The 27650-nt window shown below is 43.6% G+C and overlaps 1 protein-coding gene and 1 long non-coding RNA gene across 5 annotated transcripts in view, besides 1 other annotated feature; one reads left to right on the top strand and one right to left on the bottom strand.

Moving 5' to 3' along the window:
* Positions 1–23549, top strand: part of LOC101929200 (uncharacterized) — a 163580-nt gene extending 140031 nt beyond the window's left edge. The window contains exon 6 of the long non-coding RNA XR_001742583.3: positions 23336–23549. This is a non-coding gene — a long non-coding RNA (uncharacterized LOC101929200). The remainder of the gene's footprint in view (positions 1–23335) is intronic.
* ADAMTS16 (ADAM metallopeptidase with thrombospondin type 1 motif 16) overlaps positions 1–27650 on the bottom strand; it is a 179975-nt gene that overhangs the window by 38206 nt on the left and 114119 nt on the right. For all 4 annotated transcript variants that reach the window (NR_136935.2, XM_047416874.1, NM_139056.4 and 1 more), the window contains one exon: positions 19316–19442. Coding sequence is in view for 3 of the 4 variants with exons in the window: in XM_047416874.1 (XP_047272830.1) it covers positions 19316–19442 (127 nt within the window). In the remaining variant the exon portion in view is untranslated. The remainder of the gene's footprint in view (positions 1–19315; positions 19443–27650) is intronic.
* Positions 10144–10804: an enhancer, noted in NCBI's record as "H3K27ac-H3K4me1 hESC enhancer chr5:5271408-5272068 (GRCh37/hg19 assembly coordinates)". NCBI's record gives its function as "activates a minimal SCP1, AML or CMV promoter by ChIP-STARR-seq in naive H9 embryonic stem cells {active_cell/tissue: H9 hESC(naive)}" and the evidence as "EXISTENCE:reporter gene assay evidence [ECO:0000049][PMID:30033119]".

Genomic DNA, 27650 nt, shown 5'->3' with positions numbered 1-27650 from the left:
AACCAGCCACTCATGAGGGTCGGAGGCTGCTAGCCAACAAAGGCTCAACGGGTGAGCATATACTACTGTTCTGAGCAAACCAATGCATTATCACACTCATCATCATAATGCAGTAACTTGTCACGTTATTACACTCATCATGAGGGCCTTCGTTTTCTGTATTTTGTATACACCCACTCAAACACACATTATTCACTTTTATCACACACAGATATGTGTCTGTATTTACATATTTTCCTAATACACACATACACACACGAAAAATTAATAAGGTAAAAATAAGAGTCTGTGAAATACACTTTCATATGGAGTCATTTACATTCATTGCCTATAAACCACCCAATAGGGTAGTGGATTAAGCATGTCCCTGGTATTTTTCTCACTCTACAATCCCCAGTGGCCAACTCCCCAGTCTCTGCATCTACACATGTTTTAAATACAAAATTTATGGCCTGGTTTGGGAGATAAACTGTTTGGTCCTCAGGGCATAACCTTCACGCTCTGTGTAGCAATCATGGGATTTTGTTGTAGCATCTTGCCAGACACACTGATTTGTTGCTGTTACACATTATATTTGTGTTATGCAATGAAGTTTCCCTTAATAGATTCTTGTTTACATGATATACTTATAAAGTTTTTAATACTCTAATATTATGAAATATTTACTCATATTCTCTTCAAACATTTTGATTACTTTAAATTTGATTTTGATCAAAATGAGATTTATTTTGATATAAGGAACGAAGTGTTAAAATACATGTTTTAATACAAAAGTTTTAAAAACCTTTTATCATCATCATAAGCGCTATTATCTATTATCTGAGTGGATCCTGGAGGTTTTGTGAGGCCTGGAGCTTATGTAACTTAGGGCTACCCCTTGTAAGAAGAGTATTTTCAAAATTAGGAACTTGCGATTAGAAGAGCCTTAAAGCTTCAGCTTTCTTGGCTTCATGTGATGCTCTCCTCCCCAGTAATTACTATCATTTCTGCACTGACACTCCAGTTGTATTCCCTGGACATTTCTGCTTCTCTTTTTAAAGAACTGTCATTATTTAGCATCCAATGGTGAATATTGCTGGCTAGAAGGAAAATAACTGGATTAACATTTTCTACTATAATTCAGTATGTTTATCAAACATGAAGAGATAGGGTAGAGCAAACAGCTGCGCTGGTTTGCTTGGGCCTGAGAGGGTTCCCAGACTTGGGATTTCCAGTTGTAAAACCAGAACAGTTCTGAGCAACGTGGGATGAGTAGGTTCCCCTAGAGGTAATTTACTTTATTTTCTTCTCAATATATTTAATTATAGGCTTATATCATTTTTTCCATATTTCAATTGCTTTAACTTCAATTTATTATTGCTAATTGTTATAATGAATGTCTTATGACTAATTAGGTGGCGCTTTAAGCAACAATAGAATTCCGTTACTCAACAGATAGGTTTAGCATGTACTAAACCTCTCCACCACCATCCCCAATTCTAAGGAAGGCCAGGAAGGAGGTTCCCATTGCAGAGACTGACTTGGGGATACCAACCTCAGCCAGAGGTGTTTAAACGGGAAATTCCAAGACACTTTCCCAACCTTGTCTCTGTGCTTCAGAGTACTAGGCACACATGTTGATGCACCCCTGGAATACAAACACACCTCCAACTAAGTAGTCATAAGACACACAACTTACAACTAAGTAGTCATAAGATGTTCATTGTAATAATTAGCAATAATAAATTGAAACACACACACCCCTCCATTGTCCTTCACTCCGCCACAGGATCCTTCTCTAGAGAAATGGATGAACCTGGAGGAAATAATTTGGGAGGTGGCAAGGCAGAAATAAAAGGCTTCCTGCCCAGCCATTGATGAAGGAGTCTCTCAACACTGAGAACATCTAAGTAAAGTCTTGGTGACTCAGTCTTAACGTGCCTGGATTCAGGATTCAGGATTCAGGATTCAGTTCAGGATTATTAGATATTTATGGAAGATATCAACACACACAAAAAAGGAGCAAAATCTACCACTCAGACACTGGAAGGATTGTGGAGGAAAAATACTCTACAGATAAAAATACTTTACAGAAGACAAAGAGAAGAGTAGAGAAAGAAAAGAAAGAACAAAATGAAAGAAAAAAAGAAAGAAGGAAAGAAGGAAGGAAGGAAAAAGAAAGAAAGAAAGAAAAAGAGAAATAAAGAAAGAAAAGAAAAGAAAGAAGGAAGGAAGGAAGGGAGGGAGGGAAGGAAAATAAACAACTCTAGTATCTTTATAGAGAAACAAGTAGAGCAGGATGCCTTAAAAGAGAAGAAACAAAGACCAAAAAATAAAATGAGCATTTGAAAATATGAAGGAGGGTAATCAGGTATAAAACAAGCAAACAAACAAAAGCAAAACAAAAAGCAGAAAACCTGGAAGATAAAATTCAAAAAAACTTCCAAGATAAAAAGACAAAGAGATGGACATCTGAAAAGAAAACACAAGAACATCATAACATTTGTCTACTGTGTTAGAGTTCAGAAGGCAAGAGCATAAACAAATGAAGGAGAGTATTAATAAAATCTTTTTTCCCCAAATTGAAAAGAACCACTGTGGACTCAGCAAATGAGTGAAAATACCAAGCCATTAAAGCACGTAAGAGACCAGGAATAAGTAAAAGTCCCTAAAGCTTCCAGAAAGGGGAGAGGAAAATGAAAAAAAGACAGTTTCCAAATGAAGGACTGGGGATTAGAGGAACAATGGACTTCTCAGTAGCCACAGTGGATGGGAGTCAAGGACATTACGCTAAAACTCCTGGGGAAAGTGACTTCCACCCCAGAATCCTGTTCTCTAACTCTTTGTTAGCTGAGAAGCCTTGGAGGCAGTCAGAAGATTGCTTCTGTGTTTCCCACAGACAGACAATGCCTGGCATCCACAAACAGGGTGTTCAGCATGGCAGAGACACACAGGAAGCTCCAGCAGGGTGACAGGCCTGGGCTGGAACAAGGAGGGCAGCACTGGGAATGAGGAGTGCAGGGAAAAAGGGATGGAGAGATTGGCCTGTGTGGGGGAAATAGAGCGTGGACATTTCACATGCTCACCTCCTCCTAACCTTTGTTCAAATGGCACTTTCTATTCAGTCTACCTACAACCTGCACCCCCTTCTTTTGGAATTCTAATCTCCCTTTCTCCCTTCGTTTTGTTTTTTTTGTTTGTTTGGTTGGTTTTTTATTGGTTTTTTCCCCCTTTTTTTCATTTTTATCCATGACACTTATCACTTTCTAAAATGTGCTATCATTTAAAATACATTATGTTTATAAACATCTATAAATAAACAAAAAGAGAAATAAACATAAAGTCTAAGCATATGGTCTAAATAAACACTGTATCTATTGTTGACTCTGTCACCCCCAACTTAAACACATGCTCCTCCAGGACAGGGAGCTTTGTCTGTTTATTCACTAAGGTGTCCCAAGGGCCTGACACATAGTAGACACTCAATTATATTTGTTAAATGAATCCATGAAGTTGATATATCTTTTGGAATTTATATAACAAACCTAAGCAAACAAAAGTCAGGCAATCATTAGCTTCTAGACAAATAACATTTTATACATGTAAGAAGATAGAATCAGGGAGCTCTGCTTAGCTAGCAACAATAATAAGGAGTGATGACAATGAGTAACCATGGGCTCTAATCACATAAGCAGGACGGAGGGACACGAATTTGGTGGTAAGAGAGCTGAGTGATATAAAACTGATAAAAGGTGCCACAAAAAGGCCAAGTCCTCACCTGCAATGGATAATAGGATAATCTTTAAAATCAATAAATAGAAACCGGCTATCATGCATGTTATTTCCAAATATCAGAATACCAGAATGGAGAACCAAAGTCACTGGAATTCTTGGCACCGGGTCATTGAGGTTGGAGATGGGTGAGTGGCTGGGGCAGGGAGCTGTGACTTCTCATAGATGGCTTTAAAGTACAATACAATGAAGGGTTTAAACAATGTTCACGTGGTCACTAAGTAATAAGTTCACTGAAATAATAGATGTCAGAAACAAAAACCTACATTTAGTTTAAATGTTCAATTTTAACAATTTAAACAGATTCTTCTCTTTACTTCTCTTTAGTCTTTTTTTTCTTTTTTTTAAGACAGAGTCTTGTTCTGTTACTTAGGCTGGAGGACAGTGGCATGATCATAGCTCACTGCACCCTTGACCTCCCAGGTGCAAACAATCCTCCTGCCTCAGCCTCCTGAGTAGCTAGGACTATAGGTGCATGCTATCACACCTGGCTAATTTTTAAAATTATTACTATTTGTGTAGATGGGGTCTTACTGTGTTGCCCAGGCTGGTTTCAAACTCCTATCTCAAGCGATCCTCCGGCCTCACCCTTCTACAGTGCTAGAATTACAGGGGTGAGCCGCCACACCCAGCTTAGTCTTTGTAAATTAAGGAAATATATCATAAATGCATCAAAACAATGAAAAAGCCCTAATTATTGGAATTTCATTTGGCGTAAAAGTAAAATCAGACTCTGGGACAATGTGGGTGGCTGGAGCTGAGAGAGGAATTCTTGCATGGATTCTTGCCTTGCATTGGATCCAGACAAACCCATGCATTCTAGGAGACTGTGGTCTTCCTTTATGATGACTGCAATCATTTCAAACCTTGAAATGATTCTGTGCGTTCACTGGTCAGCCTGGTGAGCAAGCGCCCCTCTCTAGCACGTTGGCCCTATAGCTCAGGGGCCATTTCCAAACCATGTAGTCCGTGGCAGGTGTTGGGCTGTCTGTCACTCAGTAAGTATCTGCCGAGTAACTGAACACATGCTGTAGTATATATTATCTCCCTGATAAAAGCTGTCTTGGTGAATGGGGAGGAAGCCTGGTTTTCTTCTGTGATGCGGCTGAAGCATCTGTCCTTCCACTGACATTTGACTATTCTTTTAAATTACCTTAGCAAACCTCATGCTGGGAGACAGCGTAAGGGGGAGATTTCAATCCAACTCTGTCATTGAAAATCACAAATTCTAAATTAGTGACATCTTCATAGGTTTCATGTCCAACACATTTAGCATCTGCGATTTTCAGAATCAAAGCATGGTTTAAAAGACTGCAATGTTTCGCCATGTTTTCTTTAACAGAGTGCAGTGCTTTCGAAAACGAGGCCTCGGTGAGTATCTTGAAAGAAATCGTGACACTAAAACATATTTATTCTTAATAAACACAGGGTTAATGAAGATTTTTTTTTTCATTTTCCTTCATTTTGTTTTGTTTCTTGTTTTTGGCAAGAAAAAAGAGAAAAACGAGGCTAGTGGTCACACTCTGAGGGAGATGTTCTCTTTCCGGGGCCAGTTGTGCTGGGTCCTGTTTCTGGGCTCAACAGTCCTGGCTGACCCCACTCCAAATGCAAGCAGCCCCACTGTGTGAATCAGCGATGCCTTCTCTCCTGCTCGCTGGCCCAGCCTCCCCAGAGACTGTCCATGCTAGTGTGTCTGCTGCGTAGCGCCTGGCTCTCGGCCTGCTGCTTTCCAACACCCCTTGAAGAATGTGCACAGAAAATCTAGGAACTCTGCATCATAGGTCTGCAAAAAGATTTAATCTTCAGTTTAAGCTCACTTCGCTCTTTGTATAAATTCCTTATTCCTCAGAGTTTTAAGATAATCTTGTGTGAGTAATCCTGGATATCTAGCAAGTTACAGTAATTTACACTCGGGTCTGTCTTATCTATTTTAAATCAGAAAGTGGTGGTCTTATAGAAGAATATATCACTTCCAGCAGTAGTAGAAATAGAAGAGAATAAAGACAATTCTACAGATTCGTTAGAAATGAGCAGAGACATGAAACGGTAAGATGAAGAAAAGAAGACATGGTAAGTAGAAGACATACAATAAATTGGTGGACCTAAATCCAAATATAACCACACTCCATAAGAAGAGATTCAGCTTATGTTAAAAGAAAAGATAGGTTTGGCCGGGCACTGTGGCTCACACCTGTAATCCCAGCAGTTTGGGAGGCCAAGATGGGTGGATCACCTGAGGTCAGGAGTTCAAGACCAGCCTGACCAACATGGCAAAACCCCTTCTCTACTAAAAATACAAAAATCAGCTGAGCATGATGGTGCATGCCTGTAATCCCAGCTACTCGGGAGGCTGAGACAGGAGAATTGCTTGAACCTGGGTGATGTTGGTTGCGGTGAGCTGATTGCACCACTGCACTCCAGCCTGGGTGACAGAGTACGACGCCGTCTTAAAAAAAAAAAAAATAGATTCTTCATTTGATAAAATTAAAATTCAGCAGAATATTATTTACTAAAGACATAGGTAAACCCAATGACACAAACATTTAAAAATAAAAATAATTAAGAAATGTAAGCCGAGTCAAAAAATAATAATAAATGGAGCTGGTGCCCGTAGTGTTAATTTCAGACAAAATAAATCATAAATTGGAAAGCAAGATCAGAAATAAGGATGGTCATTACTTAATAACAAAAGAACAATTTATGCAGAAACTATAACTATCTAACAATACAAAGTGGAATTTTAAAGTCAATTGTAAAGTAAAACTAAGAGAAAAAATGGAAAAACAATCAATCATAATGTGAAATTTTAATAGACTTCTCTCAGAAGCAGAGAAAGTAGACAAACATAAGAACATAACAGATTTAAATAAATAACTATGGAATTTGATCTAGTTGTCATATGAATAACCCTATTCAGAACACATTCCTTGATTCTCACGGGAAATATTTATAACAAACTCCCATTGTTAAGCCATAAAGGAAGTCTCAAAAATGCCAAAAATAAGATAACTTTAAAACTTCCTTTGATTTCAATATAAGAACACTTTAAATAACAGAAAAAAATGTACCCTGAAGCTTCCATACATTTGGAAATATAGAACCACAATTCTAAATTATTGATGGGTCAGAGAATAGAGCAATGGTGCCTAATTGTATCTAAAAACAATATATTGTGTTCTTCCCTCCAACCCCAGAACCTTGATTCTGAATGAAGCTTGCACTTTTCAGCAAATATTTCAGGAAGCACTTATGAGCACATTTGCAGTAATTGCATGGACATAGATAGAGATTTGTAATGCAAGCTATCTATTCTATCTATCCACCAGTTTGTTTTGCATTCTCATTCCAAAATATTTGAAGCATGTGCCACGGTTTTAATTATTAGGGGACAGTTACGCTGAGTGTGGGAAATCTTAGTGAATTTTAGAGCCAACCACACTGAGTCCCAGAAAACAGAAATGAAAAATTTAATGATTTAACCTAAATAACCAGCTAAGTTTCCTGAAAACCAGAAGTATTCTTTAGTTCACAAGGTATCTTTCTGCCCTTTCTTATATGGATGATATACATATATGTGTATATATATATATCTGTGTGTGCATGTGTGTGTATGCATATATATGTGTATATATATGTATATATGTATATATATACACATATACACACATGCACACACATATAAAATACTAAAAATGTACTAAAAGTAAAGCAACCAAGATGTCCTTAAGCAGGTGACTGGATAAATAAACCTGGTGCATCCAGACAATAAAATGTTATCCAATGCTAAGAAAAAATGAGCTACAAAAAGACATGGAGGAAACTTACACGCATGTGACTAAGTGAAAGAAGCCAATCTGAAGAGGTTGCATGCTGTATGATTCCAACTATATGACATTCTGGAAAAGGCAACACTGTGGAGACAGTAAATAGGGCAGCGGTTGCCAGGGGTTGGTCGGGAGGGAGGATGAACAGGCAGAGCATGGAGGATCTGCAGGGCAGTGAAGCTCCCCTATATTATACTATCATGGTGGATTGATGTCAGAATACATTTGTCCAGACCCACAGCATGTATGACACTAAGAGTGAGCGCCCATGTAAACTATGGACTTGGGTGATAGGGATGTGTCCATGTGGGCTCACAAATTTTTACAAATGGAGCACGCCGGTGGGGAATGTTGATGGTGGGGAAGGGTGGACGAGTGTGGGCCTAGGAAATATATGGGAATGTTCTACTTTCTGCTTAATGTTGCCATGAAATGAAGCAAAAACTGCTGGAAAAAAAGGTCTTTAAAAATAAGTAAATAAAACAAAACACATACACATACAACACAATGAAAATCAAGCAAACAAAATATAAAAACTCAAAGTACAAAATACCTTACAGGACTACTTAAGGCACATTTCTAGATGTACAATGACATATTCAAATTCAGAAAGTTAATGTTGTATCCCCACTGCTTCTGCAATGGTTTCTATGTTCCTTTTCAGTGTTTCATGAAATAAGTTCAATTAGTCTGGCTTACGGTTTATTGTGTTTGTCTATAGTTATCACTTGACTTTCATTAGAGACGTATGCAGGCCAATGTCTGTACCTGCTTAAATACATTTCAAGCTCATTGTTTTGGTGCAAAGTCACATTTTCCCCAGGGGAGACACAGTAAGGTGTCATCTTTTATACCTCAGAATCAGCACATTGAGGTGATCAGACAGTTTCAAGCCACGGCATTCCTACCTGATCTGGTGACGTCACACTGTAGCTGAACAGCTCCCTAACAGTGTTTATCTTTTATTTCATACATTTATTTATTTATTGAGACAGGTTTTCACTCTGTGGCCCAGGCTGGAGTGCAGTGGTGCCATCAGGGCAACCTCTGCCTCCTGGGCTCAAGTGATCCTCCCACCTCTCCCTCCCAAGTAGTTGAGAGCACAGGCGTGTGCCACCACATCAGCTAAGTTTTTTGTATTTTTGGTAGAGCTGAAGTTTCACCATGTTGCCCAGGCAGGCTGGTCTCGAACTCCTGAGCTCAAGCCGTCCACTTGCCCCAAAGTGCTGGGATTACAGGCGTGAGTCACTGGGCCAGGCCCAGCACTCATTCTGGAGGGGCCATAGCACTTCTGGTTTCCCTGATTAGACTGAGATTGGTTAGATGTCTTTGCAAAGGGCACAGTGGAGGGCAAACAGGTACCCAAAGACGATCAGGTGGGCCTCAGCACGGTGGCTTCTGTGGGTGAGACACACAGTCCCGTGTCCACCCCACTGGGCTCTCTCTCAGCAGAGAGGGCAAACCTTGGGATCTACAGAACAAAGCTCTAATGACTCTGGAAGGGCCCCTCATGGTTACTTCTTCCCCCTGCAAGTACTCCAAAGTTGAGTAAAACTGGCTCTCATTCCAGAAGCACAAAGAAAGTAACTGCAGAGAGCCACTGCCTGCGGACCTTGGAGGCTCACACCCATGATCTGACAACAGTATAGAATGGCTTCTTGAACTCAAGTAATGAATGCATAGTAGATTTGCTAAAACACCAAGCATTCTAATACAATCCCCAAATATTCCAGAAAGCCATGTTGACACAGAAGTGGGGCTGCCTGCCACCCTGACTGTGCCGTTCGTGGGCCCCAGTGCAAAACAAATGTGCCAGGCCCCTTGTTAAAAATCCTTTGGGGCCGGGGGCAGTGGCTCACGCCTGTAATCCCAGCACTTTGGGAGGCCGAGGCAGGCGGATCACCAGGTCAGGAGATCGAGACCATCCTGGCTAACACAGTGAAACCCCATCTCTACTAAAAATACAAAAAAAAAATTAGCCAGGCGTAGTGGCGGGTGCCTGTAGTCCCAGCTACTCAGGAGGTTGAGGCAGGAGAATGGTGTGAACTCGGGAGGCGGCGCTTGCAGTGAGCCGAGATTGCGCCACTGCACTCCAGCCTGGGTGACAGAGCAAGACTCCATCTCAAAAAAAAAAAAAAAAAAATCCTTTGGAATTTCATATCAGCAACAGCCGAGAATAAAACTACACAGGAGGCTCCTCTGAGCAGGGAGCACTGGAGGCTGCGCAGGTCTCACTCCCAGGAAGCCCATCCTGCTGCTTGGGAACGCTCAGCTACTTAGATAATTAAATGAACCGAGATGTTCACTTCTCCAGCATTCCTGTGAGCAAAACCCTCTCCTACACAAACACCACCTAAGCAACCAGATTTCTTTTCATTCCCTTGGTAACGGGTGCATTACTGGGTGATTAGTATTTTCACGGCCTCAGATCGAAAAGAGATAAGCAACTACAGAAAAGGAAATTGCTCCCCCCTTTTCATTGCAAGTGTTTCTATAGGAGAGCAGTGGAAATAAAGCTGCCCTGCTGAGCCTTATCTTTCATTTCTAGAGTGTGCAACCAGCAGGCAGAGCTACGGACCCATGTATCTTGGTTGTAAAAGGAATTATTCCACTAATGGGTTTGTATAAGCAAGAAGAATAAGCCATCCAAATATCAAGTGGAGACGGGGCTACAGAGAAAACAAAGCATTTGATCACGATATGTGATCCAGACTCTTACTCGGCGTTATCTAGACTCTTACTTGGCATCCCTAGAAGAGTCCTGAAAACAGAGGGGAAGTCTCCATTTACCATCTGGAAAGCATTTCCTCTTGTATCTTCAATCCCCTGTCCTGGCAGGTGTGTGATTAGTGTTAATGCTTAGAAAACGAGAGTTAAGATGAATGACCCGAAGAGCCACTCCATTTAGATAAACTGAGAAGTATAAAGGGAATAAATATTTGTGTGATTTATCATCCATGTTTCAAAAGCAAGTGATAAAAAGGCCTGATTCATGCTAGAATGCAGATGGGGGCGGGGCAGCCGCGGGAGGGCCGTAGGCTGCTTGTCTGGGCAGTGCCCGCGCAGGGAGGAGCCTCCGTGTGAGGGAGGAGCGGGAGGAGCGGAAGGAGCGGGAGCCACAGGCTGCACAGCTCCCCGGTCCTGGAGGAGCCACTGGGAATTGCTGATGCCTGTTATTTCTCCAGGATACTCCTGCTGGCCGAGGCTGCACAGCCATTTTAAGAGAATCTCCAGCAAGAAGACTTCTAGACACCCAACACCCTGCCCCCTGCAGAGATTTAGGACTTAGGGGATCCCATCTGGCAATGCAATTGCAGGAGCCTGCAAGGCTGCAGGACGGCCTCTGGGTGCTGAGGAGGAGGCTGGGGCTCCAGCCAGCACAGCAGGTTTCCTTTTTCATTTAAGTTAAAAGTGATAAGGCTGTGGATTAAGATGTTTTACAGGTTCCACCCCTCAATCCTTGTGGAACCCTCCTTCAAGTTGAACATGAAACATCAGATCACACCCCACTGAGCCCCACTTAGTGTCAGACAGAGCACGAACTGTGGGGAAGGAGAGTGCGGCTTATTCCCTCGGGGCTGTGGCTCCAGCTTTGCCAGGCTGCTGAGGACAGAGCTCGGAGTACCTGCAGCCTAGAGGCCAGGGAAGCCTCTCAGGGAGGCAGAATTCAGTAAGAAAGATGCACACTCCATCCTCAGAGAAACGGAACATGGGTTTCCTGAACATTTAATCAGGAACAAAAAATTGTTAGTATCCAGGACATAATAGAAATATATTTTGCATTTCAGAAGAAAAGTAAAGCAACATTTTAAATTAAAATCTATGTTCCCAACTCAATTGTTAAAATCATACAATGAAACAACAATCCCCAAGGGTTGACATATGCCATGTAGGTCCATTATTCTGTGTTTTTGCCATGGATAGTTTTGCTTTATAGACTAAATTCATAACTGTTGTGAATTTCTTTCTCCTTTTACAGCAACAATAATCATAGCCAAGATTTAGTGAGTGTTTATCACACCTGAGAGCATTTACGTGGAATCCTCACCTTATCCTAGGAGACAGGAGACCTGGATCATGCCCGAAGTGGGGAAGGCAGGGTCGAGCCCAGGGAGGCAGGCAGTGTCACGGCTGCACCTTTGACAAGGTGCAATGCCGCCCAGCGCCTTTGTCTGACTCTGGCCCATGGACATAACCCATGGCAACCAGACCACTCCATAGAAAGAATTCCAGTGCAGGAGAGTTGTGGGAAGGGAGCCTGGAGATCTTGTTTCTCCTGTGAGACAGAAATTTACTAAGCTCCATGTGCGATCAGGCCCTGGCTATTTGTGGGCGATGGACGGGGAGATCCACTTGGTTCTCCTTAAGATTCTCCCAGGCAGGAAAGCATGGCATTGGGTTCACAGAGAGGCTTCTGTATTGTCTCAAAGTTTCCCCTTTCAGAGGGCAATATGAACATTCCAAAATAGGAGGTCCACATGTCAAAGGGTGCCATCGGATGGAGGGCTCCAGGGTTGACTGAAGTGGATTTGGGGCAGCCTCAGTCTCATGTTTCTACTTGCTGTAGGACACATCAGCTCCAGCTTCCCCTAGACTGGCCCTCTGCTGCTGAACTGCACCTTTTCTTCCAGCACACAGTGCTCTTGACAGCATGTGTGTATTAAACCGTGTTTGAGAGAGTCAAGTGTAGAAGATAGGACACAGCAGAACGCAGGGATGTCTTCAGCTCCAAATCTCTCAATACCAGAAAGACCAAGCGTAGAGAGGTGGAGGCAGAGGAGACCCAGCCAGAAAAACAACAGGAACCACTGGGCGAAATGGGTCACTTATATGGAAAAAATAGTAACTTCCAAAGGCTCCTCTAGAGGCTCGGGACCATCTGCCCTTTGTGATGGGAGGGAGGGCAGAGCAGCGGGGTTGGAGGCACAGGGAGATTCTGGCAAGAGGAAGGGCTGGTCATTGCTTCCTTCTCTTTAGTCTGAGGTCCCAGGTGGAGAGTGTGGGGCAGGGAGATGGAGGAGATTGCAGGTGATGTGAACTCAATGTCCTGGGAGGTGGGGAGCAAATGACCCAGGGGCAGGTGTAAGGATTGTGTACCATCCTTGGGTGACCACACTTTTAGAGTGATAACATGGGATTTTGGGGGTAGCATTTACTGCTGAGCTCCATGTGCACAGTGGGTCAAGAGTTGGGGGTATCCAGGCTGAGGTGACCAGGGTAGTATAGGGGAGCGAGGGTGAAGCAAGGCAGCTCAGGTGCTGGTGAGGGGAGGGTTCCAGCACTGCCACAGCCTCTGGCCTGGGTGGGGGCTCCGGGGTCCTGGGCAGTGAGCGGTGGGACGATCAGCCATGCAGTGAGACAGAAGGACAACTTCAGTGTGGATCTTGAAGCATAGGAGCTGCATGACAAGAGGCATGGCCTGTCTGGAGAGGGGTGTTAAGGACCGAGAGGTCACAGGTGAGGTGTGTATGAGCTCAGAATGTGGCTGAGCTGCACCAACTAGACCCAGCAGGCATGGCTTAACAAGGGAGGGAGCGGTTCCCTTTGTGCGAGTCTGAGCTGGTGGGCAGTTGTGGGGTCGGGGAGCGCAGTCCTTCTCCAGGTCACCAGGCTCGACTACCTCCGTCTTGGCCCTCTACTCCCCTAGAAGGTGACCCCTGCCTGAGGGGCTGCAGCTGCTCACTAAGGCCAGGACCTGCTGCAGCCACAGAGGTGGGCAGAGAAAGAGGAAGGAGCAGCTGCCTCTTGAGGGCTTAGCATGGAGGGCATAGGCTCACATCCCATGGGCCAGACCTTAGCCTGGGAGGACAGAAATAGTGTCCAGTCGGGATCCCTGTGCAGGTGGATGTATGCAGTGTATGGGGCAGCGGCTTCTATTAACAAAGACGGGAAGGAGAAATGGACCTTGAGGGATACCTCTGGGCAGTTATTGTTGATGGCAGGCGTGAGAGACCGAATCAGGGGAGACCATTTGATGGACAGTCAAGGAACAGAGAGGTAGGTGCGTTGGAAGGATCCCACGGGTGGATTTAATGTTGACAAACTGACCACAGCAGTAGCAGTCGCAGTTGCAGTAGCTGTGGTGACCGAGCGTCTGATGAGACCTTCGTCTGCAGTGCTACGTACGGTGAGTCAAGGATACCGCAAATGCTCCTATCTTGGGGTCCTCCCAGGGGAGCTCCTGAAGGAGGCTGACGTGAGGCAGATACTTTACATGGGAGATACGTGGGAACATACAAATGTGGTTTAGATGTATTAAGGAACAGTTGATTCCAGAAGCTTTGTGATGTCTGAGTAGTGCCTATTTCTCAATGGTGGCAATCCAGACAGGATCTGTCAAGCTTCTCTACAGAACAGCCCCAAGGGAGAGTGGGGTCACAGAGCTTATAATCTTGGGATGTGACTGCACACATTTTCTTTTTGTCATCTCACAGCCAGGCAAACTGAGGCATAAAGAGGTGCAGCCACTTCCCCAAGGCCACACCGCAAGCCTGAAGTGTCTCTTCCTGGCCTAATGGGACCATGGTTCATCCGTGTCTCCTACGAACACCTATTAAGGTCCCACGTGAGCCAGGCACGATTCTCATCCATTGGGATGTATTAGTGGACAAAGCAAAGATCTGATTCTGATATGGGAGCGGGGCAGGGAAGTGCTGGGAGGAGAAGGGGGCGGTCCCTGGTGAGGGCTCCACTCTCGGGCCTGTGCCCATGGACCTAGGTGAGGACAGACATTTCTGTTTTCGTGGCCAAATGTTGCATTTTGCAAGACCACCCTGGCCCACTATGCCCCCATCCTGGGCCTATAAAAACCCTGAGGCCCTAGCCAGCACATAGACAAGCAGCTGGACGTCGAGCGAAACATATTGGTGGAAGAACACACAAGTGATTTGACATCGAGAGAAACACATCGGCAGAGGGGCACGCTGACAGGCACCAGCAGATGCCGGCAGGCCATCAACCAGAGTTTGTCTGGGACGGTCGGAGGAGAACTCAGCTGTGGAGCAGCCCAACTCCAGGGGAAAGACCACCTACCCATTCCATCCCCTTTCTGGCTCCCCATTCACCTCGCTGAGAGCTACCGCCACTCAATAAAACCTTGTACTCATTCTCCAAGCCCATGTGTGATCCAATTTTTCCAGCACACCAAGGCGATAACCCAGGATACAGAAAGCCCTCTGTCCTCGGGATAAGGCAAAGGGTCTAATTGAGCTGATTAACACAAGCTGCCCAGGGACGACAAACTTAGAAGAGCACACCGTAACACATGCCCACTGGGAGTTCAGGAGCTGTAAACATTCACCCTTAGACGTTGCTGTGGGGTCGGAGCCCCACAACCTGCCCATCTGCCCGCTCCCCCTAGAGGTTTGAGCAGTGGGCCACCAAAGAAGTAAGCCACGCCCTCATCGCACACCCTGCGAGGGGGAAAAGGGAGCTCCTCCAGTTTCAATTCCAAAGAGATTTTCCCACATATTTAGTATGAAAATTCTGCACCAGGAACAAAGATTTATCTAAGTGAATACAAGAGGTGAGGATGTCATTCTTGGATAATGGTTGGTGGTAAGGGCAATTTTGCCTGACAACATAAGACTGCTTAGATTTCCATTACTGAAATTCAATAATTGTATTATGGTCTCGCTTGGAAAGTGATGTTTTGATAGATTTAAAACAGGGTGAGATGATATAGAAACAGCAAACCACTAAGAGTGACAGTAAACGAGCGCCACATAATCTGTTGAGCATGTTCTACCTGAGGTTTGGTTGAAGAAGAAGTATGGGTAACACCAGGAAGAGTAGCCCCAGGAGGAGGAGAGCTCCCTTCCCACTGGGGCCATCCCCAAAATCCCAGGTTTCCTCTTGCAGTGAGTGTCAAGTAGGACGTCCCTTTGGGCAGTATGGGGGAGGCGGCAAGAAAGAAAACAAACAACCAACAAGCAGATTGCAACAATGGGCAACTGTGATTTAAATGAACTCTTCTGCTCTTTCCAAGAAAGAACTGAAGCAGCTGCCAGCATTCTCCCCATGCGGTAGGGCGGAGGCCCGTCCTAGGGAAAGGACTTAGTTGCTCCACTCTGCCGTTGCTTTTGCTTCTCTCTGCTGCCCTGGGGTCACCAGCTCTCCTGCTTTCTATGCCTGGTCCTGTGGGGTTTGCAGATGCAAAGGGGCCTCTTCAGGGGTGTCCCAACTATCACTTCATATCTGAATTATGTGATACCTCAAAGCACACAATTAGGAGCCCAGACATTGGTAGCTTGTTCCTGTGTTGGGGTGAGTTTTCTCTAGCATTCTCTCTAGATGGGCTTCACAGAGTAGACCAGGGCTGACTAGACTGCAAGGGTATGCTTGATCCACTAACATGACTAGCTTGAGAAATAGCATTCAAGCACTCAACATTTCCAATTACCCTGAGATTTAACATCCTGATGGATTTACTTCCACATGGAACTAGTAACACTAGTCCCTCCTGCATGTGAAAGTCACACACACACACACACACACACACACACACACACACACACACTTCTTTAAGTCTAATTTACTGGTTTCCCCACTTCATAGCACTGGTAACTCGGTGCCTTGAGGAATCACAGATGCTTCTCCCTTAAGAAACCTGGACTAAACACAGTATGGAAAGAGGAATTCAGCACAGGAAGTGATGCTCCCAACTTCCATATGTCAAGGCAAGGACCTTCAATCAAGGTTACAGTGATGTCAACACCAACTGGAACACAAGCAGACCCCACTGTCCGGGGAGCAGGGGGTGTGAGGTCAAGTTGGTGCAGCAGTTGACAATGTTCTGTCCTTGGCCAAACTCTAGCCAGGTTCCTCTGAGCCCACTTTACCACAAGGCCTCACCTTGGCTTATAAAGTCATGAACAAACACCAACATGGTTTCTAACAGCTCAAGGCTACATCCCTAAGATAACCCCAGCCCCTCTTAAAGTGCCTGTCTGAGAAATCTCAAGGCTTCCCAAAGAATTTCCTGTTTGTTCTGGCTGACACCTGCAGATAGGACCCCTGTCTCCCAGGCTCTGTGGGAAGGTGGGAGCCTCACTTCTATGACCGCCAGTTGGCAAACCGAGATTCCACAAGGACCAACCCTTCTTCACGCTTTTTGCAGTTCTTCACCTCCCCAGCTCTCCCTGGTTCAGCCCCTTCCCGCTCTTCTATTCTCCCTGTAAAATGCCCAGTCCCTCTGCTGATCGAAGGTGAGTTCACTTCAGGCCACAATCTTTTCCCTATTGCAGCAGGGATCACTGACTAAAATCTGTCCTGACCACCTTACCTAGTGTTTGGCTTTGTTTGTCTTTGACACAACTCAGCAAGGGGCCTCCATTTCCTTCGGACAGGAAGATCACTTTTGCTGACAACTGTGCCATGCTACATTCTGCCTCAGCCAGCCATGGGGTTTATTTCCTAAACGATGAGGGTGTGTCTGCATTTGGTGTGTCATTCCAGGCACAGAGGGAGCCCCTGATGAGTGGGCTGTGCTCTTGTCATGGAGCTCAGCATAGGCTGGAGGCCTGTCTGGGTGGGAAAGGCCAGCAGCCAGCTCTCCTGCAGTGGCCCACAGGGTTGGCTCAGGGACAGGTGAGGGCCATGGAGCATCGTCGTGTGTGTCCATCAACTCCACAGGCCCTGGCTGACACTGGGAAGGTCCCCCAGAGGGTGTCCCATGCCTCAGTGTGCTGCATCTTAAGCACTTAATTTCTTGTGTAAATTCTCTCTTGATAGCAGATTGTGGGGAGTGGTGGTTCAGGAACTGTGGCTGAGGCAGGGCTGGTGGCTTTATAAGGTGACAGGTCCCCGATCACATCAGGGGCAGGTGTGCTGGGAGGACAAGATCTTCCCAAGGAGGTGTCCTCCTTACTGTGATTGCAAGAGGGGTCCTGGCCCTTCAAATATTGGTAAGTGACCTCCTTCTCTTTACTGAGAGAGAGACCAGGGGTAACACCTACAAAAAGAGACGGTGCCTCCCACCTTCCTGTATTTTATTGCCTCGGGGAGAGTACCCAGCTTCATGCTTTTGATCCATAGTTCAGCAAACTTGGGATCAATTTGCCAGCTACTGTGGATCTTTATCAAAATGTATTAGATTATCTTGTATTAAGTCTTTGAGTGCCTTGAGCTATTTGAAAGATCTAGTTGGAGTTAGAATTTCATTCTGTAAATATGTGATCTCAGGTGGTTTTTAATAGAGGCAGGAGGCAGAGAAATCCTAGGCAGACAGGGGCAGGTCCCCTGTGAAACCCCAGCTTCAAGCCAAAAAGAATCTGAAACCCACAGACCAGAGCGAGAACTTCCATTCCTGTTTGCCTGCTCTCTTCCGATTGGTTCTTTCTCAATAATGCCTTTTAAGCAATCAAATGTTGCCCTTTCCAATAGTACATATGGCCTGGCCGGCCCCCATCCTGTGCCTCTAAAGACCCCAGGCTCAGTTGGTAGAGGGGAGATGGCCTGACTTGGGGGAGGAGACCTGCTGACTTTGGGAGAAGATGACCTGCCATTCTCATCCCCTCTCCAGCTACCCTCTCTGCTGAGAGCTATTTTTATCGCTTGATAAAATTCTCCGCCCTCACCATCCTTCAGTGGTCAAGCATGACCTCATTCTTCTTGGATGGTGGACAAGAGCTCGGGGCCCACTGAGTGTGGGTACCAGAAAGGCTGGCCCTTTGCCCCCGCTGGTGGAGGGCAGCTGCCCCCCACTACAGGGTCAGGGGCTGACTGAGCTGCGAACACACCTCCGTCCATTGGGCTGTGGATGATGGAACTAAAAGAGCTAATTAGCACATTAACACCCCCTCTGGGGATTTGGGGTCACGGGCACCCTTGCCTGGGTGCCACTGTGTTCCCCTCCAGGCAACACGCCTGGTCTGGCTGTGGGCTCTGCACAGAGCTTGCTCCTGTGTCTTCAGAGTGACCAGCTGGATCCTGTACTCACTTGCTCACATGCTCCCTCCCACAAGGGGCTGAGTTCAGGAGGCCAAGTAGAGAGGCACCCCTGCTGGGAGTCCAGCAAAGAGCCTGAGAAAAATCCTGCCTTGGTTTTCACAACCTTCTGTGACATGTCCCATGTAAAGATGAAGAAAATGAAGACCAGAGGGATGAAGGCCTTGCCCAGACGTGATGGCTCCTGACAGTGCAGCAGGACCATGGCTGCCTCAAGGGGCCCTTCCCCACCTCCTGCCTCAGAGAACCCGAGCTTGGGTTTAGGAACTCCTAGGGGCAGTAGCAGTGAGGGTAGAGTGGATGACAAGAGCCCTGGCTTTCTGTGGCTCCAGTCCTCACAGCTGTATGTTTGCAAGGCACTGAGGAATCCAGGGTTCCTTCCCCACTGGCAGGCCTTGTGATGGGTTCTTCCAGCAAGTTTCATTCAGCAAGAAAAGCACACACTAGTGGACAGGACAGCAGAGAGAATGCATCATTATCACCATAGCGTGTTATCACTCCTGCCAGCCTGCAACCAATTAAAGCACAAATACAACAAACAGGACGCCATTCTAAGAATGTCCACTTACAGTCACAAGAATTTCCAGACCACTTCCCGCCTAAACACACTCTCTAGGTCCCTTGTCCAGGCAGCTCTTGTCCCCTTTGCTTCTCCACTGTTATGAGTGACATGATGGCAATCAGCACTTCTCTCTCGAAATCAGGAGCTGCAAGACTCGCTGAGCACGTCTGCAAACTGGGAAACCTGCTTTGATGAACGCGATGCTTCTTACCTGGGAGGACAGGCAGATACTTTGCAAGGCACCAGCCCCGTGACAGGTCGTGTCTTGGGATTGCAGAAGGACATATTTACTTGAAACTTCAGGTCTCTGTAGCAGCCCTCTCTCACGGTCATCTGTCCTGCAGGCAAGGATGAAATGTAGAATAAAGACTCACATGCATGCCCCACAGTAAAAGGCAGATGATGAGCTAATAAAATCTCTTTCAAAGAATCTTAGCCATACTGGCATGTGTTTGTGTTAATGACCAACTGGCCAACTATTAATACTCCACTTTTCTGACCTGTCTTCATAAGTTGTAATTCGTGAATTTCATTCATTCTAAGATGCACATATTTTCCCTCCATATTTTTATATTAACATCTTTAAAGTCAACATTTGTTTTGCGATTGATGTCATCATACATTTGCTGAAATGTACCTGCTTCTTTTCTACTCTTTCCATAGTTGAAAACACCAGTGGATTTTCAGCAGAAACACCAATATTAAATACACCTGTTCCACATTTCCACTTGAGATGACAACAAGAAACAGTAATAAATCAGCAGGAAACATAGACAACAAACTAACAAGCAGTTTGTCACCAGAGAATGCACAGAGCTAAATCTGAAAGGCTAACTTTAACAATCATGACTTAGGTGTTGTATAGAAGGAAGTCAATGGAAATAGAAGTTTGTTTGATTCTCAGCCTCTATCTATTTAAGACTTTGTGAACATTCCTATATTTGTTCAATATTTCAATTAATTAAATTTATCCCAAAGGGATTTTAACTTAAGTGAGGTACCAGGAATAGTCAATTCATTGAGATAGAAAGTAGAATGATGCTGGCCAGGGTCTTGGAGGAGGGGGAGTTGGGAGCTAATGTCTAATGGACAGAAAGTTTCCATTTGAGAAGATGAAAAAGTTCTGGAGATGATGGTGGTGATGATTGTACATCAATGTGAATGTACTTAATAGTAGTAAAATGTACATTCAAAAATGGTGAGAATAGCAAATTTCACATATATTTTGCCACAATAAAAAAGAGATACTTTGGGCGGCCGAGGCGGGTGGATCACGAGGTCAGGGGATTGAGGCCATCCTGGCCAACATGGTGAAACTCCGTCTCTACTAAAAATACAAAAATTAGCTGGGCGTGGTGGCACGTGCCTGTATTCCCAGCTATCAGGAGGCTGAGGCAGAAGAATCGCTGGAACCAGGTAGTTGGAGGTTGCAGTGAGCAGAGATTGTGCCACTGCACTCCAGCCTGGTGGCAGAGCAAGACTCTGACAAAAAAAAAAAAAAAAAAGAGGCTATAACTAAAAGACACTTTGAGGAATGATATTAAAGAGTGAATGCAGGGCCAGGCATGGTGGCTCGCACTTGTAATCCCAGCACGTTGACAGGCTTAGGCATGTGAATCGCTTGAGTCCAGGAGTTTGAGACCAGCCTGGGCAATGTGGCGAAACCCCATCTCTACAAAAAATACAAAGATTAGCCAGGCATGGCGGCATGCACCTGTAGTCCCGCGTACTCAGGAGGCTGAGGGGAGATCACTCGAGCCTGGAAGGTAGAGGCTGCAGTGGGACGAAATGGCACTTCACTGCACTCCAGCCTGTATGATAGAGGGAAACCCTATCTCAAACGAGTTGATGCAGTAGGGGATAAAATAAATAGAACCAGCCAGTGTTGATTTAATATTAACACACAATATATTCAGATCTAAGAGTGATTTTATCACTCCCCTTGGAAATACCGATGAAGAAGTCCTGTGGATTGGGTGGAACACCTGTTCTCACTCCTCTGCAGCCCAAGCCGTGTACAACTCAGATGGACTCGGACAACTCAGAGTTTGCTCATAAGGAAATACAACAAAGAGATTGTCTCAGAGGAGCAAAGGGACAGACTGTAGACACGAGGCACAAAAATCCCTCATGCCAGTTCCACAGAAGTCAAACCCTTCCTGACTTAAGGAAAATTGAAAGTCTCTAAAATATACACTGAAAACCAGTTGGACATTTTGGGGCTTCTTAGTCAAAAGGAGTGGGGCCCTTCAGAAGGGAAAGTTGCACTCCGTACAGTATCAGTTTTCTCAAGTGTAAAGAGGAGGGCAGCTCTCCTAAGTTCCAAAGCAGGAGCCACTGTCGGAGCTCATGGCTCTAAGCCCCAAACCACCCATTTCCTGAGGTTTAGCCCTTTGAGCATTGATAAAGCAGAAAGAGTGGTTACATAGGACCCTCACAGTTTGGTAAAACCAGTCATCTCTCTGCTAACTTGGCAGAATTATATATTTAACCCAGGTAAGTGGTTTGCACATGGTGCTCCCTTAAGGTGAATTTTGCAATTATTTCTCTGATTTTAGTGATCTCTGATCAGGAATAGGTTATTTAAAAATGACTTTGATATATACTCTAGAAATGTAAGAAAATTATTTTAACATATTGAGCCTCTTGAAGAAGAATATTTCTATGAAAGAACAAGATTTAAACTCTGGAAATGTAAGAAAATTATTTTAACATATTGAGCCTCTTGAAGAAGAATATTTCTATGAAAGTACAAGATTTAAACTCTGGAAATGTAAGAAAATTATTTTAACATATTCAGCCTCTTGAAGAAGAATATTTCTATGAAAGTACAAGATTTAAACCACTACAGACTAAAAGCAAGAGGGCCAAGGAGGCGTCCATTGAAGATGGACCTCAATCCCTTGGGGCAACAGAAAGGCAATACAAGTAAATATTTCCAGCACTCTGGTAAGTCTGTAGATTCAACATCTGTTCTAAAAGATCAATTTAGGAAAATCAAAGATGGATTTGGGATTGGCCTTTGAGTGTCCAAAGTCCCCCCAGGCAGGAGAAGTGGAGGTCGGGGGAGGGAGCTGCTCAGGGCAGCCTTTGAAAGGGGATGACACAGCGGGGTGAGAGTAATGCTAAAAGAAAATAAAAACTCAAGATTCCAATTCACTACACCAAAAGGAAAAATGAAGCTGAAAGCTGAGTTATGTAAAAAGCTGCCTTTCCTTTTGTTCCTAACAAGAAAGCTGCAGATACAAGGTTAAACATCCCCACTGGTAGCTACTGCATGTTCACCTTATCTTGTGTACAGTGCCGATTTACTGAGTGAGATGAATACTCAATTGATGATTCCCTGCCTGCTCCTTTTCCCTTGCAACCTGTGGATTCAGTAGTGGGACCATAACCTTACTCTTTCCCCTCTAGCCCACTTCTCCCCTTTAAATATTGAAGCTCTCAAAATAAATCATCTTTGGAGAAAGGCACAAACCACATACTGTGTTTCTGGGATTCTGTATTCCTTTCTCCTGGCCTATCCTTAACCTTGGCAAAATAAACTCGATTGAGACCTGTCTCAGATACTTTTTACAGTAAACAGGGTGGGCTTCTAGAATTATGATGCTCAGCTGCCTGAACCTCGATTCAACAGATGTGTCCTTGTGTTGGAGATGAGAGCAGAAGTGGAATCTGCAGAAGCCTGAGTGGTCACAGGATCCTGCCCCATCAGTGATGCTGGACAAGGCTCAGTTGCAGCTCAGGTGGGACTCAGCAGGCCAGAGACATGCACAGGTGTGTACAGGATTCACAGTAGCTGTGCACGATAACCCAAATGGCCGCAGAGTGGAAGTCACTGTGAAAGGAAGTGATGTCCCAGAAAATTATCGCTGTCAGTGTCCCTGAGATAGCAGTGGACCATCTCTGTGAGCCACCACGTCACACCCAGCATGGACACGGGTACCGAGGGGTGGGCAACAATGTGCCCCAAATGCCTCATAGCCAAGGCCTCACAACGGCTCCTGCCCTCAGGAGGGGAGAGCAGCACTCTGTTCTGGATCAGCTTCTGTTTTCCAACAAATGAATGTCCTTTTAAAAATGGCATTGCCTTTTAAAAATATACATACACACCCAAGAATGATCAATAAATACTAAAAAAAATTATATATATATATACATATACATATACATATGCATGCACACATTCCTGCCACTCCCAGATTAAAAGCCTATTTTTTCTGTGTTTCAGCTCTGGACTTCCCAGCCTTGCCCTTCTAGGCCTGTGATGCTGTGACCCTGCCCTGCAACCTCTCCTATGTCCTCTGACTCCCCAGGACCATCCACCTGCTGTTCTCTCCACCTGGAGTGCTGTCCTCTACAGCCATGCCTGTGGGCTTCGCCAGCAGGTTTCTTCTCATCCCTTTCAATCAAACTCAAACACCTGCTTCTCTGGATTCCTTGGCTCACCGGTTCTCAAGCTTGAGTTGGTATCAGGGCACCCTGGAAGGGCTCATTCATTAAAACACGGAGTGCCAGGCTGTGCTTCTGGATTTCAGCTGCAGCAGGTCCGTGGCTGGGTCTTAGAATTTGCATTTCTAACAAAGGCTCAGTTGCTACTGCTGATGCTGGACCAAGGACTACACTTTGAGAAGTGTAAGTCTGCTCTGGGCAGTCTTAGAAGCCACCATTGATTTCTATTTGAGTTTACCCAGGTGTCATTAGTACACACAGCTCCTAAGACCCCTGTGATCTCTGGAATATGGAATTTTCAGTCCCCACTCCCCGACCTCACCAACATCCAGAGAGGGGAGAGAGGCTTGAGACTTGGCTAATCACTAACGGCGGATGATTCAATCAATCATTCCGATGTCATTCAACCTCTTTAATGACGGAGTTCAGAGAGATTGGTAGTTGGTAAACACATCCACATGGTGGGGGTGCACATCCCAACTCCAAGGGGTCAAACGCTCCTGTGCTCGGGACCCTTCGAGATCTCAAGACCTATGTAACTCTTTGTCACTTGTAACCTTTGTAGTAAACCCATGATCGTCAATCAAGTGGCTTCTTGAGTTTTATGAGCCATTTTAGCAGATTAGCAAACCTGAAAGGGAAAGCCTGTGGGAACCCCTGACTTTGTAGGCAAGTTGTGGGTACCCATGAGACTCAAGACTGGAAACTGGCATCTGAGGGGAGGAAAGTCTTGGGGAATTGAGCTCTTAATCCTCTGGAGTCTGATGCTAATTCCAGGTAGTCAGTATCAGAACTGAACTGAATTGTAGGACACCAAGCTGCCAGCATCTAGAGAATTGGAGAACTGGTTGTTAGTGTGGAAAAACCCCACCAATTTGGTGTCAGAAGTGCTGTGAATAAAAACAGCTCATGTCCGGCTAGCTCAGCTTTATGCACATTTGCCCTGAAAAATGATAGCAGTAACATCATTTCCTCTCAAAGCATCCCAGTTGTTTGCATTACATTGCCGTTTGCATTACGTTGCAGTTTGCATTACGTCGCAATTTGCATTACATCCCAGTTTGCATCCCAGTAATGCATTACATGGTGACTCTAATTATAAGGTTCTGTTAACATTTGTGTGTCATCTGTTGGAACAGATTTCTTGGGGGCAGAGTGCATGTGTTATTCATTGTTATAATTTCAGTAGCATGCATGGATTAGTTTGTCACTTCACTTATTAAGTAGTTTTTGAGCCACTGGATAATTCTGTTATATAAGCTTGGACAAGTTAGTAGTGGATTAACTAATACTTATCCCCCCAAACATTATCAAAATAGGGGATATTCTTTTCTTTATGTATTACTTAAGGGCAAACTGGGGCACAATTTCAATGACTGACTCATGCATTAATGTTGAGATGCAATATGAAGATGTTTTATGGACCTACTTTCCACTTGCTAACTAGGGCTGAGAGACTATTAAATTAGAAAAAGAAACAAATGTTTGTTTAAAAATGTTCTGCAGAAAATCTTACGGACTTCCTTAAGTGTAATAGTTATGATAACCCGATTTAAATAAGAAACATACTGAATAACCACACTATTTTTCTAAAACTGTTAGAAGTCTAATGAATACAAATGAAAATTAATCTGTTCCTTTCCTTACACTTACTTTTCAAGTTTAAAGTCCATTTTTTAATTCTTAACCAAACTCTTACGGCTTTTTAGGAGGTGTGATTCTATAAATAATGGCTTCAGTTTGGTTTCCTGTTTTGAAATTAAAAACATGTGAAATTCAAACCTTCTGTTCAAGTCTGAACAAAGAGTCATGCCTTTATGATCATTGATGATTCTGCACAAGGTACGGTCTCTTAACTAAGCAAATAAGGAATCTGTTTTGCTTTGAAATAGAAACAGAAGTTGGCTTTATTAATGTCCTTAGTTTTCTTTCTTATTGGAGACATTTGTTTAGCTTCACTCTTGAGCTGCCTCAGTGTGGGCAAAGTCCCAAGTCCAAGTCCCAGAAATTTACCTGTTAATTGGATAACAGGGAAGTCTGGATCTAGTAAGTCATGTGATAATTTAGTAACAATGTAGTAAAAAAATTTAAAACTCAATGAAAAACACTGTGTTTATCCAATGCAGGTGCAAGTTTTGCCTTGGCCAGTTATGTCTTAGCTGTGACTTTAGAAATCTTTTGTTTTCCTTAATGAGACATTACTAGCATTTTAGGCAACAACATTCCTTGTTATGCAGCACAGCAGTGCATATTGCAAGACTTTTAGCTTCCCTGGATCCTGCCCAGTAAATGTCAGTAGCATCGCTCTCCCAATTATCATGACAACTAAAATACTGCCATGGGTTTCCAAATGCTTCTTATGAGGGACAGTAGAATCTTCAGTTGAGAATGCTGATGGATGAAAAGCACATAAGGTAAGTATATAATTAGGAAATAAAAGAGGAATGTAAAGTGTTCCTTTGAAAGTTTTAGCAATTAACAGAAATAGAGCAAAAAGAAGATCAGGTAGCAGGTTCCAAAAAAACTTACTTAAGAAAATAATGATGAAAATGCTACAAAAGATAAACTGTGGAATGTAGCTAAAGCAGTATTCAGAGGACAATTCATGGCCTTAAATACTTATGTCAATATATGAGTAAGAATAAAAATAAGTGAACCAGATATTTTTAATTAGGATGTTAGAAATAAAGGATAGCCCAAGAAAGCAGAAAGAGGGATCTGATATAGAAACAAAAGTCAATATATTAGAAACAGAGGTCAATATGTTGAACATAATAACATACAACTTTGCATACCTTCTTCTTTCACACTCTCCTCTGTATCACAGGTTCTAAAAATCAGGAGTACATTTTCTAACTCTCATATCTGTGAAGCTTTCAGTTAGATCCCACTAATCAGAGGCACTAGCATGAGATTTGGAAGGTGGAGGAGTGAGAAGCCACATGCTCCCATCTCTGGAAGCAGTGGATGTAAGGATGGGCTTTGGCAGATGCAAAGGTCTGTGGCCATCTTCAAGCATTTTCCTGGGAATCACTTGCTCCAGTGCTGGATTATCTGTAATCATCACCAATGATCTCTAAAATTTTCTGCAACTTTCTGACTTTTCAAAATCCGGAGTAACTCTGAGAGCTACAGATGTCTGGCCTTTACTCTTTCAATCTCTCTATTTATTTTGTAAACAACAAATCCTCTGTGTTAAATAACTTCTTGCTTGAAATACCTAGAAAGGTTTCTATTTTCTTGGTGAAATACCTAGAAAGGTTTCTATTTTTTTGGTGAAACTGTCACTGATACATTGACTTCATGAAGAATATAAGTAGTAAGTACAAACATGCAAGATAAGAAATGAGAATAAGAAAATATTTACATGTAGAAGAAATGAAAATAATCTAATGGGATACTCTTTTCAAATATATAAAATTAAATTTTAAATAATACATTTAAAAAGATGGTTTTCTTAATTAGAAAAACTAATTCCAGAAGGGATAAACAATCTAAGTAGTCCAATTACCATACATAATAATATAAAAATGTATCAAAGATCTAACTCCTTCAAAAAGCAGCAGATTCAGCTGCTTCAAATATATTTTACCAAATGCTAGGAGATAGTTAACACCAAAGCTATTAAATTGTTCCAGAGCATAAAAAATACACTTATAGAAATTAATGTAGTATATTTTAGCACACAAAAGAAAACTACAGCTCAATAATACTTAGGAGTATTAATGTGAGAAATACTAAATAAATTAAGAGAAGGCAGGATCAAGTAGCATATTAGAAAGAAATAAATCACCAGATAATGATTCATAGCAGGAATGTAAGGATGGTTCAATGTCAAGAAAATATGTTAATATATTTCACCATGTAATGGATTAAAGGACAAACATAAACTCCATAAATGTAATAAAGTTCAGCATTTCATAAATTTACCCTCTATTTTTTATAAAAATATTAATGAAACAGACAACAGATGGATATTTACTCACATCAATATATCTGAATATTTGTATGAGTTTGTGTGTTTATGTGTGTATATCTGTATCTACATATATAAATATAGGTACTTGTATGTTTATTTAAACCTAGAAGCTAGC

The sequence above is a fragment of the Homo sapiens genome, chromosome 5 (genome assembly GCF_000001405.40).
Source record: "Homo sapiens chromosome 5, GRCh38.p14 Primary Assembly".
In the NCBI taxonomy this organism is placed as follows: Eukaryota; Metazoa; Chordata; class Mammalia; order Primates; family Hominidae; genus Homo; species Homo sapiens.
The sequence above is the reverse complement of the archived record's forward strand: the minus strand, read 5'-3'. Positions and strand labels throughout refer to the sequence as shown.